The sequence below is a fragment of the Homo sapiens genome, chromosome 3 (assembly GCF_000001405.40).
Source record: "Homo sapiens chromosome 3, GRCh38.p14 Primary Assembly".
In the NCBI taxonomy this organism is placed as follows: Eukaryota; Metazoa; Chordata; class Mammalia; order Primates; family Hominidae; genus Homo; species Homo sapiens.
In genome coordinates, this window is record NC_000003.12 from 175,125,040 (window position 1) to 175,142,439 (window position 17,400).

Here is a 17,400-nt window from a genome sequence, read left to right on the forward strand (position 1 = left end):
ATGGAACACTCTATGGTGATGGAAGTGTTCTAGATCTGCATTGTTCAGTATAGCAGCCACTAGCCACATGTGGCTACTGAGCACTTGAGAAATATGGCTGTTGTGAAGTAAAAAATGTATTTTAAATTTTACTTATTTTCAATTTAATTGAAATTAAATGGATGGTTTAATTTCAATTAAACTACCTGGTAGCTGGTGGTTAACATACTGGATAGTACAGGGTGAAACATTGTGGGCCATTGTAAGTCGAGTTTGTTTTTTTCTCTGAAAAGGTTCCAGAAGCTACTGGAGAATGTTAAGCAAAGGAGTGACATGATCCAAATTAGGTTTTTACAAGATCACTCTACTACTTTGCTGAAAATAGCGCTAAGTGGGAGAGAACAGGGAGCCCTATTGCACTAATCCAGATGGTAGATGATGGTGGCTTGTACCAGGATGGTATAAATAGGGGTGGTGCAAAGATATTGGATCCTTTATGTGTTTTGAAGGTCAAATGAACGGGATCCTTTGATTGATTACATATGGAATGTGAGAGAAAATAATTGATATAAGAATACTTTTACATTTTTTGGCCTAAGTGGCTAAAAGAACATACAGTTTATTAAATGAGATGACAAAGATTTAAGGAGGCACCTATTTTGTACAAGAATAGAAGCTGGTATCTGGAACCGAACAGGTTCGAGAAGCCTACTAGACATCCAAGAACATATGTTAAGTGCATAGTTCAGCAGAGTCTATTTTGGAGATAAAAGTTTTAGAATTGTCAGCATATTAGTGTCGTTTAAAGTTGTGAGACTAGTGGAGATTACCAAAAGAGTAAGTGTAAAGAGAAGAGAGATGAGACATAAGGACTGACTTAGACTTGAGGCATTCCAACATTTTAATGAGGCAGAACCAGCATAGGAGACTTGAAATTGAAAGGCAATACTCCTGAATTTACAGGAAATCCAAAACAGCCAAAATTTGGAATTCTAAGAGTATGTAGTGTTCAACTTTGTCAAAATGCCCTTGCTATACATAAAACAATGAGATCTGGCAATTGACTAATGGATTTAGCAAAGTGAGTGTATGTGTATGGGAGAAGGAGTAATTGGTGATTGCAACAAGAATAGTTTCTGGGGGGTAGGAAGGGCAAAAGCCTCATTGGAGTGGATTCAGGTGAGACCAGAAAAGAGGAATTGGAGATAGGAAGAACAGATAAAAGAGGCGATTGACTTAGGAAAAAAAGCATTAGCTCTAATAAATTCTGATTGTGCAGACTATGGGCTTTAATTTGATAGAGGTATAAGGGAAAAGGTACATTTTAAAGCAGACATAATTTCTTTTATTGGTTCTGGGATCAGCTGAGCTGTCTCACTCACTGCACACAGTATTGGCAATTTCACTGATTTAGAGCTATCTTGGTAACTTTATCAGCCTATCAAACTGGCATTTCAAAAGTAACTGAACAATTCCATTTTTAAAATTCAATCTTAGTTCCAAGATATGTTAAAGGAAAATATATATATTTCAAATGAACACATGTAACTTATTTTCTGAGAACAGGTGTTAGAATTATATATGATAATGGAGAGCTTTATTGTCACCAAAACAAAACAAAACGAAACAAAACTCAAAACTATTTTTCCACTGTTATGCTGAGCAATTCATCAAAGAGAATGTATTTAATACACAAATTAACGATTAATGAAGTTTCCTGAGGTTGACAGGTAAACACATAAATATTTGCAACAGAAATCTCAAAGATAGTCCAGATTTATCAAAACCAAAAGGGATTAAGTATTTTTCCCAAGGGCATTCAACTTGTTCAAGCTACCTTTTTTTTTTTTTTTTTAAGAATGTTTACTAACATTCTAAAAATTGAATGTGAGTTGTTGGTCTTATTAAAGTGTCATGGTAAATGTTATGAGTATCGACTGTAGAATATGTTAATATTCAGTTAATATGGGTCTGAGGGGTAAAGAAACAGGATACTTAGGTGAATCTGCTGAAATCGCCCTGAGGAACCAGGGCCATTGCTTTGAGCTTGGCCTCTCTTGAAGTAAATCTCAAGAAATGTTAGTCTGTTTGCCACTGCTCTGGGACACCGTTCACAGGAGTGCTCATGTAATAAACAGATCCCCAGACATCATGACATGTCATTCAGAAAAAGGTAAATACAATAAATATTTATCATTTCACTTCATTATCTCCCGCTACCCCCCAAAGTGAAGCATTTTAGTTTAGGTCATAGATTATATCCCAGCCTGTGGTACCTTGGATGATTAGAATTGCTTTGGGAATCTGTTCTTCTCCTATAAGGTATCCCTGCGGTAATTTCCAAAGATTCATGAAGTTTACATAGCAAGTCTATGAATAGCAGAAATATTTACTTTCAGGACTGACATGGGACACCTTTGGGCATCATAAACTATGTTTACCTAGTTCATAGGAGGGCTCCTGCAGAAATGCCAAGGGCAGACTTTTCCAATTATGATGTTGACCATGATATTAATAGAATCTGAAGAGGAAGAAATGTCCCCTGCTTTTCTTTCAGTTAAACTATCATCTTAATTACACATTTTGTGACCCCTTATCTGGAAATATTACTATTAAGTACTCTTTACATTATTATATTTATGCTGACTATACTTAATAATTTCAGTTAACACTATTTACTGTTCATACTGTTTTCAATATAAAATAAATATTATTAATAGCTGGGCATGGGGGTGAGTGCCTATATTCCCAACTACTCAGGGTACTGAGGCAAGAGCATGGCTTGAGCTCAGGAGTTTGAGACCAGCCTGGGCAACATAGCAAGACCCTGTCTCTACATAAATAAATGAATAAATATTATGAAAGACACGTGATATAAAAATGATGGAAGTAAAAACACAAAATATTAATAATAGATGTGATATAGTGTAGTTATAGTTCATTGATTTCAATTATGTATACTTTTATGAGTTTTCCTTTACTGCTCAGTATATTTGCATTTATAATTATACAAAACACATGAATAGAAATATATTTTGTATGAAGTGTACACATCTATGAATGTTATCATCTCTTGGTTAAGTAATATAGAAGGTTGTCAAGATTTCTCTCCTGGAAGAATTACAGTGTTATTGGAAGGCAAAATATAAATACAGGAGCATCTTGGATAATAGTTTAGAAAATTAATGCTATTAACTATATTTTATTTAAAGCATTTTTAATTGTGAAGAAAGTGCTTGTGATTAAAATTAATTTCAATCTTTCTTTAGAAAGAAAAATGTAAGGTAAAGGTAAAGGTTTTTGAATTCTTACATATTTGAAGATCATGGTTGTCTAATTTTTCAACATTTGTAATAAATGATTTAATTTTCAATAATTAAGGATTAGCTACTTCAAAGAACAAAGGACCATTTGATTAGTATCATTTCTTCAATTTACCTTTTTTTTCTCTTTTGTGTTTTTAGTAGGCAATCCTATGGCCTGCTGAGATTTCATTTATTTGATTTTGTTCTGTATTCTCATCATTGCAGAGAAGATTGGAAAAATGTCCTGCTGTATTGTTTCAGTTCATTTGAAAATTGTGCAGTAGGTATAAGGGAATACAAGGAGAAATGTATTTTCAATATCAAGATTTAGATATGAGTGAATTTAACAAAGGGAAGTGTTATAAAGCTCCAGTGCATTCTTTTCATTTCAGATTCTTTGTGATTTATATAGATTCATAGGATCAGAGGATGTTAGAACTAGAAGAGACTGTAAATGCCATCAAATCCAATATTTTTACTTTTATTTTTAAATTTATTAAATTTTATTTTTATTTAAAATATTTAACTCACAAAAAATGTATATATTCAAGATGTACCACATGATGATTTGAGCTATGTATAGATTGTGTACTAGTTACCAATTTTTTTTTGTTTGTTTGTTTGTTTGTTTTTGAGAGAGAGTCCCATTCTGTCACCCAGGCTGGAATGCAGTGGCAGAATGTTGTCTCATTGCAACCCCTGCCTCCCAGATTCAAGTGATTCTCCTGTCTCAGCCCCTGGAGTAGCTGGGACTAGAGGTGTGCACCCCTATGCCTGGCTAATTTTTTTTTTTTTATAATTTTAATAGAGACAGGGTTTTGTCATGTTGGCCAGACTGGTTGAATTACTGGCTTCATGTGATCTTCCTGTCTCAGCTTCCCAAATTGCTGAGATCACAGGCATGAGCCACCACATCCTGCCACCAAAGTCGAATTAACACATCCATTACTACCTATAGTTACCATTTTGTGTGTGTGTGTGTGGTGAGAACACTTACAATCTGCTTTCTTGTAAAATTTCAAGTAAACAGTACGTTATTAACTATAGTCACTGTGGTTTACATTAGTCACCATGGTGTACAATAGATCCCTGGAGCTCATTAATCTTTTAACTAAAAACTTTGTAGTCTTTGACCAGCATCTCCCCATTCCCCACCCCTGTCCAGTCCTTGGCAATGACCATTCTATACTCTGCTTTTATGAATTTGACTTGGTAGAGTCTGCATAAAAGTGTAAACTGTCTGTGTTTGAGTTATTTCACTTAGCATAGTTTTTCAGATTAAGATATGTTATTACAAATGGCAGGATTTCCTTCTTTTTAAGGCTTAATAATATTTCATTGTATATCTATACACATGTATATGTATATATCTTACATTTCCTTTATCCATTCATCCGTTGACAGACATTTAGGTCGTTCCCATATCTTGGCTACTGTGAGTAATGCTGCACTGAATATGAAAGTACAGATATCACTTTGAGATACTAATTTTATTTTCTTTGAATGTATTCCCAGAATGAGAATTGTTAGATCATATAGTAGTCCTTTTTTAACTTTTTGAGGAACTTCTGTACTGTTTTCCATAATGATTGTATCAATTTACATTCCCAACAATAGTGTACTTTTCTCCACATCCTTGCCAACACTTGTCTCTTGTCTTAATGATAATAGCTATCCTATCAGCTGTGAGGTGATTTCTTATTGTAGGTAGGATTTGCATTTTCTTAGTGATTAGCGATGTTGTATACGTTTTCATATACTTGTTGGCCATTTTTATATCTTTTTTGGAGAAATGTCTATTAAGGTTTCTTCCCCATTTTTAAAATCACATTGTTTGTTGTCTCATATCGGGTTGTATAAGTCCTTTATAACTTTTGTATATTATAACTTCTTATAAATTTTGGATATTAACTTCTTATCAGATATCAGATATAAGGTTTACAAATACATTTTTTTCCCATTCTGTGGGTTGCCTTTTCATTTTGTTGATTATTTCCTTGCTATGAAGAAACTTTTTTAGTTTTATGTAGTCCCACTTGTTTATTTTTGCTTTTGTTGCCTATGCTTTTGGTATCGTATCCAAAAAGTCTTTGTCAAGACCAATGCCACAGAACTTTTCCCTATGTTTTCTTCTAGGAGTTTATGATTTCAGGTCTTACCTCGAAGTTTTTAATCCACTTTGAGTTGACTTTGGTACGTGGTGTAAGACAAGGGTCCAATGTCAATTCTTTTGCCTATAGATATTCAGCATTCCCAATACCATATATTGAAGAAACTATCTTTTCTCTATTGTGTATTCTTGGCACCCTTATCAAATTAGTTGAACACCAGGAGGCCATTGAGAGGGTCAGATAGAATTATGTATTTGTTTCTCTTTAAGCCATCTAATTTGACACATGTATGTGTCTATTTGTGGGTTCTATTCTGTTTCACTGGTATATATGTCTGTTTTTATTCTAGTGGCACACTATTTTGATTACTGTAGCTTTGTAATATAGTTTGAAATCAGGACATGTAAAACCTCCAGCACTGTTCTGTTTTATCAAGATTACTTTGGCTGTTCACTGTCTTTTATGGTTCCATACAAATTTAGGATTATTTTTTCTATTTCTGTGACAAATGCCATTGGAATTTTGATAGGGATTGCATTGAATCTGTCAATGACTTTGGGTAGTATGGACATTTCAACAATATTAATTCTTCTAATTCATGTACATGCTATATCTTTCCATTTATTTGTGTCTTTTAAATTTCTTTTATCAGTGTTTTACAGTTTTCCTTGAACAGCTATTTCATCTCTTTGGTTAAGTTTATTTCTAAGTATTTTATTCTTTTTTTTTTTTTTTTAATTGTTCATTCTTGGGTGTTTCTCGCAGAGGGGGATTTGGCAGGGTCATAGGACAATAGTGGAGGGAAGGTCAGCAGATAAACAAGTGAACAAAGGTCTCTGGTTTTCCTAGGCAGAGGACCCTGCGGCCTTCTGCAGTGTTTGTGTCCCTGGATACTTGAGATTAGGGAGTGGTGATGACTCTTAATGAGCATGCTGCCTTCAAGCATCTGTTTAACAAAGCACATCTTGCACCGCCCTTAATCCATTTAACCCTGAGTGGACACAGCACATGTTTCAGAGAGCACGGGGTTGGGGGTAAGGTCACAGATCAACAGGATAATAATTTTTCTTAGTACAGAGCAAAATGAAAAGTCTCCCATGTCTACCTCTTTCTACACAGACATGGCAACCATCCGATTTCTCAATCTTTTCCCCGCCTTTCCCCGCTTTCTATTCCACAAAACCGCCATTGTCATCCTGGCCCGTTCTCAATGAGCTGTTGGGTACACCTCCCAGATGGGGTGGTGGCCGGGCAGAGGGTCTCCTCACTTCCCAGTAGGGGTGGCCGGGCAGAGGCGCCCCTCACCCCCCGGACAGGGCGGCTGGCCGGGCAGGGGGCTGACCCCCCCACCTCCCTCCCGGACGGGGGGCCTGGCCGGGCGGGGGGCTGACCCCCCCCACCTCCCTCCCGGACGGGGCGGCTGGCCGGGCGGGGTCTGACCCCCCCACCTCCCTCCCAGACGGGGCGGCTGGCCGGGCAGAGGGGCTCCTCACTTCCCAGTAGGGGTGGCCGGGCAGAGGCGCCCCTCACCTCCCGGACGGGGCAGCTGGCCGGGAGGGGGACTGACCCCCCCACCTCCCTCCCGGACGGGGCGGCTGGCCAGGCAGAGGGGCTCCTCACTTCCCAGTAGGGGCGGCTGGCCAGGCGGGGGGCTGATTCCACCACCTCCCGCCCGGATGGGGCGGCTGGCCGGGCGGGGGGCTGACCCCCCCACCTCCCTCCCGGACGGGGCAGCTGGCTGGGCAGAGGGGCTCCTCACTTCCCAGTAGGGGCGGCCGGGCAGAGGCGCCCCTCACCTCCCGGACGGGGCGGCTGGCCGGGCGGGGGGCTGACCCCCCCACCTCCCTCCCAGACGGGGGCAGCTGGCCGGGTGGGGCTGACCCCCCCACCTCCTTCCCGGACGAGGCGGCTGGCTGGGCAGAGGGGCTCCTCACTTCCCAGTAGGGGCGGCCGGGCAGAGGCGCCCCTCACCTCCCCGACGGGTCTGTTGGCCGGGTGGGGCTGACCCCCCCACCTCCTCCGGACGGGGCGGCTGGCTGGGCAGAGGGGCTCCTCACTTCCCAGTAGGGGCGGCCGGGCAGAGGCGCCCCTCACTCCCGGACGGGAAGAATGGCCGGGCGGGGGGGCTGACCCCCCCACCTCCCTCCCAGACGGGGCGGCTGGCCGGGCAGGGGGCTGACCCCCCCACCTCCCTCCCGGACGGGGTGGCTGGCCGGGCGGGGGGCTGACCCCTCCACCTCCCTCCCGGACGGGGCAGCTGGCTGGGCAGAGGGGCTCCTCACTTCCCAGTAGGGGTGGCCGGGCAGAGGCACCCCTCACCTCCCGGACAGGGCGGCTCTCCTGGCGGGGGCTGACCCCCACCTCCCTCCCGGACGGGATGGCTGCCGGGCGGAGATGCTCCTCACTTCCCAGATAGGGTGGCTGCCAGGCGGAGGGGCTCCTCACTTCTCAGATGGGGCGGCTGCCGGGCGGAGGGACTCCTCACTTCTCAGACGGGGCGGTTGCCAGACAGAGGGTCTCCTCTCTTCTCAGACGGGGCGGCCGGGCAGAGACGCTCCTCACCTCCCAGACGGAGTCGCAGCCAGGTAGAGGCACTCCCCACATCCCAGACGGGGCGGCGGGGCAGAGGCGCTCCCCACATCCCAGACGGGGCGGCGGGGCAGAGGCGCTCCCCACATCTCAGACGATGGGCGGCCGGGCAGAGACGCTCCTCACTTCCTAGATGGGATGGCCGCCGGGAAGAGGCGCTCCTCACTTCCTAGATGGGATGGCGGCCGGGCAGAGACGCTCCTCACTTTCCAGACTGGGCAGCCAGGCAGAGGGGCTCCTCACATCCCAGACGATGGGCGGCCAGGCAGAGATGCTCCTCACTTCCCAGACGGGGTGGCGGCTGGGCAGAGGCTGCAATCTCGGCACTTTGGGAGGCCAAGGCAGGCGGCTGGGAGGTGGAGGTTGTAGCGAGCCGATATCACGCCACTGCACTCCAGCCTGGGCACCATTGAGCACTGAGTGAACCAGACTCCGTCTGCAATCCCGGCACCTTGGGATGCCGAGGCTGGCGGATCACTCGCAGCTAGGAGCTGGAGACCAGCCCGGTCAACACAGCGAAACCCCGTCTCCACCAAAAAAATACGAAAACCAGTCAGGCGTGGCGGCGCGCGCCTGCAATCGCAGGCACTCGGCAGGCTGAGGCAGGCGAATCAGGCAGGGAGGCTGCAGTGAGCCCAGATGGCAGCAGTACAGTCCAGCTTCGGCTTGGCATCAGAGGGAGACCGTGGAAAGAGAGGGAGAGGGAGACCGTGGGGAGAGGGAGAGGGAGACTAAGTATTTTATTCTAATTGATGCTACTGTCAGTGGAATTATTTTCTTAATTTTTTAATAGCTTGTGGTTAGTGTATAGAAATGCCAACTGATTTTGGCAACATTCAAAATGAACATTTGAATGTTTTTACTCTGAGGTGATGTAACTGAACATAAGAAAGATTAAAACATTTTCCCCAAATCAAGCAACTAGTTGGCATCATCTTTAAGCACATAATGAAAATTACTAATTCCCCAGATAATCATCTATCTGGCCTGTGACTAGTGGTTTTCTGGGTGTTTCTATAGTTGTATACACAATTAAGTTTGGATCTACCTGTTCACACACACACATTTGCAGTGACTATGTCTTCCATGTGTGCATGGCTTGTCTACAGTCACAGTTTATTTGCTTCTTTTATTCTGGTTTGGTTTCTTCTCATTGTGTCTTGTAATATGTGCTCAAGTGCCATGTGAGATATCAGTAAAGAAAATGAGTTCCCTTGAAGAATGATTTTAGACAAATTGCTTCAAGGTAACTTGTAGTCAAAGCTTAACCTGTATCTGCAACTTTTGTTTTCCAACTGCAGAGTTATTTGTGCACGTTTCTATTGTATCTCCTGAAAGTGTGATGATACTAGTTGACATAATCCATACATTTACTTCATCATGAGTGTCATCAGCTACTCAGCTTTTTTGGGGGGGTCCTTTTTCATGACTGTTTTGTAGCTTAAAAATGGAAAACAGCTGCAATGTATTGATCCTATGTGCCTGGTATTTTGTGTGCATAATCTCTAATTCTCAAATAACCCTTACACCTAAATATTACTTTTTTCTCAATATATAGCATGAAAAGACAGGCTGAGTAAAAAATACAGCAGAGTATAGATGCTGTCTCCATTTTTAATAGTTAATAAAGCTCTTTTGAAGACTAAGGGTGAGGGTGGAACAATAAGTAAGGGAGATAAAGTATGATGATACTGAGCAGGGAATAACTTAAAATTCAAGACTATCATCACTTTTCTTAAACATTCTCCCACCACTGCCACTCTAAGTGAGACCATGAATACCTGTCTACCTTCTTTGTCTTGGCTCCAAGATAACTGATTTTTTAAAATGCCTTTAAATTTTATCAGAATAATAAAGCATAAATCAATTTAACTAAAGCAACAATTATACAAACATATTATAGTTCAAATTATAAGATATCAAATATATCCACATAGAGTGAAAACATAACATCCTACATTAATTGATGAGTAAGTTTTGCCCTTTTTTACTTTTATTATCGGAGATATAGAGTAATAGTTTCCTTATGTTGTCTATAGCTCTTTATTAACAAATAGATGGCTCCTGTCTGCTACTACTGCAAATAATGTTTTGTTCAAAAATAATATCTCTCAACAGTTTAAACGTTTATGCTTAAAATCGCTGTAAGTGTTCTAGAGTACAGATTTCTCCACTGGGAGGAATGAGTTAATTCTCGGTTAATGTGAAGAATTCTAATAGAGCATCATAATTACCTGTGAGGGGTTTATTTCAAAATCATTTAATATACGTGCCAAGAAAAGTGATAATTCATTGTGTTGGGAAGATGAATGAGGGCATATATTTCTTCATACGGTAATAAAAATATCCTTGTATTTCCTTTGTTAATATCCCTAGGCTTCTTTCAAAAAATGATATGCACACAAAAACATAAACACAGATTTGTAGAGTAAGCGTGTGTAAATAACCAACACTATAAAGCTTATAGTAGGATTTTTTGCTGGCTTATGAAGATTTTTAATAAACACCACCAAGTTAGTCAAATAAAGTGATTAAAAATTACCGAGGAAAAAAAATCAGTCAAAAGAAAGATGTTGATTTCAAAACCTAAAGTCAAATTGTAACAAGAGGCCCATAGAAATAAAGTGCAGATCATGAAGATAATACTACCTTTCAGAACAGAGCAGGTGATCCTGAAAGATCCTGTGAATAGTAACTGGAGGATAGATAAAACTAATGTCAGAGATAGCCAGGTGTCTTGATAAGAAATCCGAGATCAATAAAATAAGTATGTATTTAAGTAGAAAGCACCAGAAAAATTGGAAGTTGTTCTGAGAGCAGAATTTTAGGAACCAGACAGAATATCAGTTCTAGAGAAAAATGTTAAGAATAAGCCTGGAGAAGCTCATTATGGCATCATATTAAATATCAGAAGCAGAACCTTGACACAGAAGACTAATGTAAATTATATGCAGACCCAAAGTTCAAGTGTTACGGGGAGAAGGAATGGGAATATGGGCAAAAGCTTTATGTGACTGAAAAAGCAACTCTTTTAGTTTGGTAACCATTGTGAACCTACTCCTTAGGGTGTAGAGAGGGAAGATAAGGTGAGATAGTAAGGCAGAGTATCTGAGGGGCCAGTGCTTCTGGTTTCTGAAGGAGCCAATGATGAAGGAGACATCATTGCAGTGTAAGAGGAGAAAGAAGGCTGGGAAAACATGTACACTAAAGCTGAGACAGGACATAAGTCAGATTGTGGGGCCAAGAGTTTAGAGTTGACTTGAGGGAGGCAGGAAGCTCTAAAGCAGTTTATCACTGTTTCATGGATATTTGGTGTCACTGTGTCTAGCTTAAATGGTCATTGGACATCTCTCAATAAAATGGATAAAGCTCAACTATTCCAGTGCTTTCAACTTTCTCCAAGAAGGACGGGTTAAAGTGGCACTGAGACTGTAGGTAGCAGGTAAGTTGTCCCAGGTATAGGTTGAAGGAATGATTAGGGGACCAGGAGGCCAATGTTAGGGTCAGAGAAAACTATGTATTTGTTCCTCTTTAAGCCATTTAATATTGCAGACATTGTGATGCAAATTTTTATAAGCATGCTTGAAGAGAAAAATCAAAATCCAGTTTTTTTTTCTTTCTGAAGATGCTAAATGGGATTTTCACAGTAATGAGGGTGTTCTTCAAAAATGACCTCATGCTTTAAAATCTGCTACCAATTGAAGGCTTGATTGATGTAGGGCAACACTATTTAGCAGATTTCTACTTTAAAGAGTCTAGTGTGATTACCATCTTTGACGGTTAAGAGGTCACAGTGACCTTGTGTTTCTATAAGTCAATAAAAATTATGATATTTATTTGAAATGATTCATCAAATAAGGCTTTGGTTTTAAAAATAACTCTTGGCAAGCTAATATTCTTTTGGGAAAAAAGAAGTACATACATCATTGGTGGGCAAAAATACACTTCTGTGTTATAGAATTCCCTTGATAAACCCCCAATTAAACTTTTGTTCTGGGAACTTAATGATGGAATTTGTTGAAATTGACCCCTTACAAGATGACAAGTAGTACTAAATATCTGTATTATAAAATTTTGTAGTCTTAAGCTTGTCTCTTTCTTTTATACTAAAGAAAAATATTTCTCATTACACAATAATAATCTCCCACTATGGAAAAATTGAAAAATGCATAAATATAGAAAAAAAGGTTACCTTCATTAGTTTTACCATAATTAGCACATTGATTGATATGTTTCCTTTGCACAAGGATGTATAATTTTTTTAAATGTTTCACCCACATATATTATTTTAACCAGTTTATTTAACCTAACGTTATATCATTAGAATTTCATAACACATTATTTCTAATTACGTTTTTACTTATTCTTAGTAATTATTTATAATGGCTGCATGCTATACTATAAAATGACATGCCTTAATTTATTTAACCTATCCTTATTTTTGTGCATGCAAATTATCACCACTTTTTTAACCTTAAAATTAATATTTCTATAAATAATCTTATACATAAAATATATCTCACATTCAGATATTTTTTAGATTACATTTCTACAAATGGAATTAATATGACAAGAGATTGACCCTTTTTTTTTTTTTTTTGAGACAGAGTCTCCCTCTGTTGCCCAGGCTAGAGTGCAATGGCTCAACCTCAGCTCAGTGCTACCTCCTGGGTTCAAGTGATTCTCCTGCCTCAGACTCCCAAGTAGCTGGGATTACAGGCACCGCCACCACACCCAGCTAAGTTTGTTTTGTTTTGTTTTGTTTTGTTTTTGTATTTTTAATAGAGATGGGGTTTCGCTAGGTTACCCAGGCTGATCTCGAACTCCTGACCTCAGATGATCCACCTGCCTCGGCCTCCCAAAGTGCTGGGATTACAGGCTTGAGCCACCACACCAGTCCGAGATTGACCCAATTTTTAACTCTCCTGATAATAATAATGTCAAACACCATCTTCCAAAAGAATGTTTTACCACTTAATTAATTTTCCTCCTTTAGAAAATAATTTTTCTCTCTCTTCAAAGGCTGGCCATGGGGCGGGGGTGAGGGATCAGACCTAGAGGACTTCAAATTGGATGGAGATAGTGAAAGGAGTTTCAAAACAGAGGATGGAGTGAGAAATGCAAGAAAGGAAAGTAAATCCAAGAGAAGACTGAGGTTCAAAAAGTCAAAAAAGAGAATGAAGCAGATTATCACTGTGACTATTCTAGAAGACTGAATACAGAGATATGTAGACTGAGAAAACTTACCCAGCAGTTGAATCAATGCTGAGAAGAATTAATATAAGTCATAGGCAATCTCCTAGAGGTAAAGAGCCACAACTTCTTATCCAAAACTCCTGGGGGCAGGTATGCTGACGTTCACGTTTTGGATTTTTTTTTAGATTAACATCTTCTAGTAATATAATTCATAACACCCCAACAGGGTTTGGGGTAGTACAAGTAATAAACTATTAATATTTGTTTTCCTAATCATTTGTCCCTGGATGGGACACCTTAAGATTAATGTCAGTAATGATGAGATTTTTGCCACCAAATGAGTTTACTGCAAACTTACGAAAAATGGCTTTGCTTTACAGAGTATTTATTATTATTATTATTATTGTTATTATTATTATTATTTTAGAGATGGTATCTCTCTATCTTATTCAGGCTGAACTCGAGCTCCTAGGCTCAACTGATCCTCCCGAATAGCTGAGACTGCAGGCTCACAACACCATGCCCAGCTACAAAATATTTTTGAATGTAGGAAATACACATAAGATATTGTGAATATATACTGCTATTGGTAGTTTGCTTTTAGATCTGTGGTACATGGGCAGATGAATTGCACTAAAGAGCCAGAAAAAAAATTTCAGCCTTTTAAAATATATATATATATATATATATATATATATATATATATGATAGTGAAGGTTTTATTTCTGTTATCCTTTGTTTATTTTACAAATATCTTTTCAAGAGTTGCAAAAATTATGTATTTTAAATGTGTTTTTTTGAAAGAAGTGAAATATTTTTCTTTCTTTGAATTTTTCTGTCCAATGTTATATTAAACACAAGTAGAACTCTTACCCTCTGACACTCAGGAATATTCTGTTTGAAAAATCTCCAGGTGGAAATTAGATTTTTTTAAGCAAATATTTTGATTAAATATTTGGAAGACATAAACTATGATATTACCCTCAGATTTATTCATTTTCTTGAGAGTTACTGCTTCTCTTTCCCTTTTAAATACATCCTTGTTCTGGAAATCATAAAAAAATAAAATGTGGCATTGGATATATATATACCTGAAAAAGTGATTCATTGAAAAAAAGAAGTTTGGTTTCCTTTCTACTTGGTAATTTGTAATGTGGAAATATTATTTTCTCTTTGTACATACAATTTTATCTTTCTTAGAATTGCAAAAGTCATTATTATCATATAAGAATAAGGGACAATACATTTCTAAGCCTGGTAGAGTTAATTTATTTCCTATGTCTCTGCTGTTCAAATAGTTCTCTATCAACATTATTCTGAAATGCTACGTAGATGATTCATATATCTTCCCTTAGTATCACCTTCTTATATTTTATTATCCATATTCAGAGAATTTTTTTCAATTTCTAACCTAGCTCATTCTTTCTATAATTTAAATTCATTATTCTAACCCTATCTTCAGTTGAAACAAAGAGTAGGTGATTATCATCAAATTATATTTCTTCTTATATTTGAAGATTGCATTAGTTTTCAACTTTTATTTCTCTACAGTAAAAAGCATTTCTTAAAAAAATTATGCATTGCAAATTAGTTTCATGCTCTTTGTAGCTGGGTCAAAAGCAAAACACGCAACTCTAACAAAGGGGTACCAACTGATAAAAATTTTGACAACTTATCATTCAGTCAACTAATATTTATATAGCGCTAATTGGGTGGTAAGGCAGTAGGGTAATGGACAAAAAAGGATTGAATTAAATGACATGAGTAGATTGGACAGGAGCCTGTCTCTGAGGGGCTTATAGTCTATAGAGGAGATAATACGGATAAACAAAGGGATTTAAATTCAGTCAGGCAAACCTGGCTTTGAATCTTAGCTCTGTCTGTCATCTGTATTAGGACTTTAGGCACTTGACTAAAGCCCTCCGTGCCTAGTTTCTGAGGGATAATTGTGGCCATCTGGTAGGATAGTTGTGAAGATTAAATTAAATGCTGCATTCCATGTACCTAAATCAGTTCTGGACCTCAGTAATAGGTGTAAGTTATAATGGTAACCATCCATTTAAATAAACACTGAGTACCCATTAGATGTCAGGTATTCAGGTGGGACTAGAAAATGTACTATATGCATGAGATCATGTCCCTGTCCTCAGAGAGCTTATAGTCTTCTGGGAATGAGAATTATGCAACACACCATAGTGTGCTAAGTACATGATAAAGGCAAGACAGTGTGCAATAGATGCACATAAAAGGGACACATAACACCACCTTGAAGGGTCAAGGTTAGTTATCTCAATGGACTGAGATCCAAAAAACAATAATTTGGGATTAACTAAGCAAAGAAGGCAGGTAAAGAGTGTTCAGCACAGAGTGAAAAATACATACCATGGGGGGAGGTGCAAGAGCAAATGATTGCTGTGAACGAAAACATTACGTTTGGCTGGAGCATGAGTTTAATAAAGGGAGTGACATAACGGAGAATGTTGAGATAGACAGGGTCCTCGCTACAAAAGGGAATGCCAGCCATGTAAAGAGGTTTGGACTTCATGGAAAAGTCAATGGACAGTTATTGAAGTGTTTTTGCAGAAGGAAACAGAGGGAAGATGTTGAGTAAATATGTATATAGGTGTGGTGACACAAGTTGAGCATGATCCTGTCTCATATCTTACCCTTTTGCTTGGCAGTAAATCACTTAAGATGGGGCAGAAAGGGGGCAAGGAATTATGGGGCAGGTAGATTTCCACAGAGTGGATAATTTTAAAAAATAAATTCAGTGGGGTTTTAATTGACTATGGGATTGTAGAAGGATTTCAAAATATCATGGAGGATAAAGGAGTCCGTAAACATGTAATATGGTAGATATGGATGTACACCAGATTTCTTTTCAAGGAGGGAATCACTACAAAGCTATGGAGAGTGTGTTCAGCACATGGCTTCCTGTTGTTAGCTCAGTCAAAGTCTGCTTTAGGTACAGAAAGTCACTTCCCTAATAACTATCTTTCTTCTCCTTGCTTCTGGAGAACCCATGCTACAAAATGTGTTATCAACCTGAGAATGTTCATAGCTCCTTTTTTTTTCAGCAGTTCCCAACAGGTCAAGTTTAGATGCCAGTTATGGGGACCACTGTTGCAGTCTAGGGTGGAGGTCTGTCAGCCAGGTGAAGTAGAAATACAAACTGAAGCAAGAGATAAATTCAAGTCATGAATATGTAGTCTACATGGTCATAGAGAAGGTGAAGACAGGAGTTTTCAAATAGAGAGAGTAGAGGGTCAAATGATTCCATGAACTATAAGTAAAGGCATCAGTAGCAAAGCTTGACTGGGATATCCAATATGAACTTTGCTAAAAAGTTGTAAATATATATTACAATGTAGAAATCTACATATTTCATAAGAAAGTACAGCAAAGCTGCCATAGTGTTTAGAGGATATCAGTTTAGATTGGGTAGAAGGCATACTTATACAGATTGATCTGAGACTACAATGTTGAGGGTATTTATTCTAGTTTCTTTCTTCTCTGGATTCTCAGAGCCTTACCAAACAAACTAATTTTGAGCTAAATGTTTAATGGCTTAATGTGTTCTGCTTTCAGATAATGTTTATTATGTAACAGGGGACTTCACCTTTTTATTCAAATGATCAAGGTATTTTAAGCGCTGGCAGAGTGGATGAAGATGTAATTTGGAAGGCCAGCAGAATCTTCAGCATCTCTCACAGAACATTTATATGTCACAGTTTTCTCTGAAGACGTAAAAGTATAGCATCAATGAAAAACACCATAGGTGTTTGCATTCTTGTCTTCAGGATTAGTTTAGGAGTTCCAGAAGTCTTATTCTTTCTTAAACTACCCTCGACCTCATGCCCAGCACAATCGATGACACATTTTAAGCTCTCAGTACATGTTTGAAAAATAATATTTTGTAGCTGTGGCAATGTATTTAGTTTAGTACGATTCTTGTCCTCATTGAATAAATTTAACCATTTTTCATTTGTGCATCTAAGTCTGAGAACTTTTCTAAAGTGAATTAAACAAGATTAACAAATGCCATTGTTAAATTTAAGATGCTTTAGATTAATTTCGTTTATAATTATGTGGAACCTTTGAAACAATTATGTTTTATTTTCAAATGTGCTTTTGCTCATCTATAGACGTACTCCCCTGACTTTAAACATTTACTGAGATCTTACTATGTATGTTACTATATATATTATCTTAATCCTCTC

At 39.0% G+C, this 17,400-nt stretch overlaps 1 protein-coding gene across 23 annotated transcripts in view; it reads left to right on the forward strand.

The window, feature by feature from the left end:
- NAALADL2 (N-acetylated alpha-linked acidic dipeptidase like 2) overlaps positions 1 to 17,400 on the forward strand; it is a 1,369,567-nt gene that overhangs the window by 684,058 nt on the left and 668,109 nt on the right. The gene's annotated exons all lie outside the window — the stretch shown is intronic.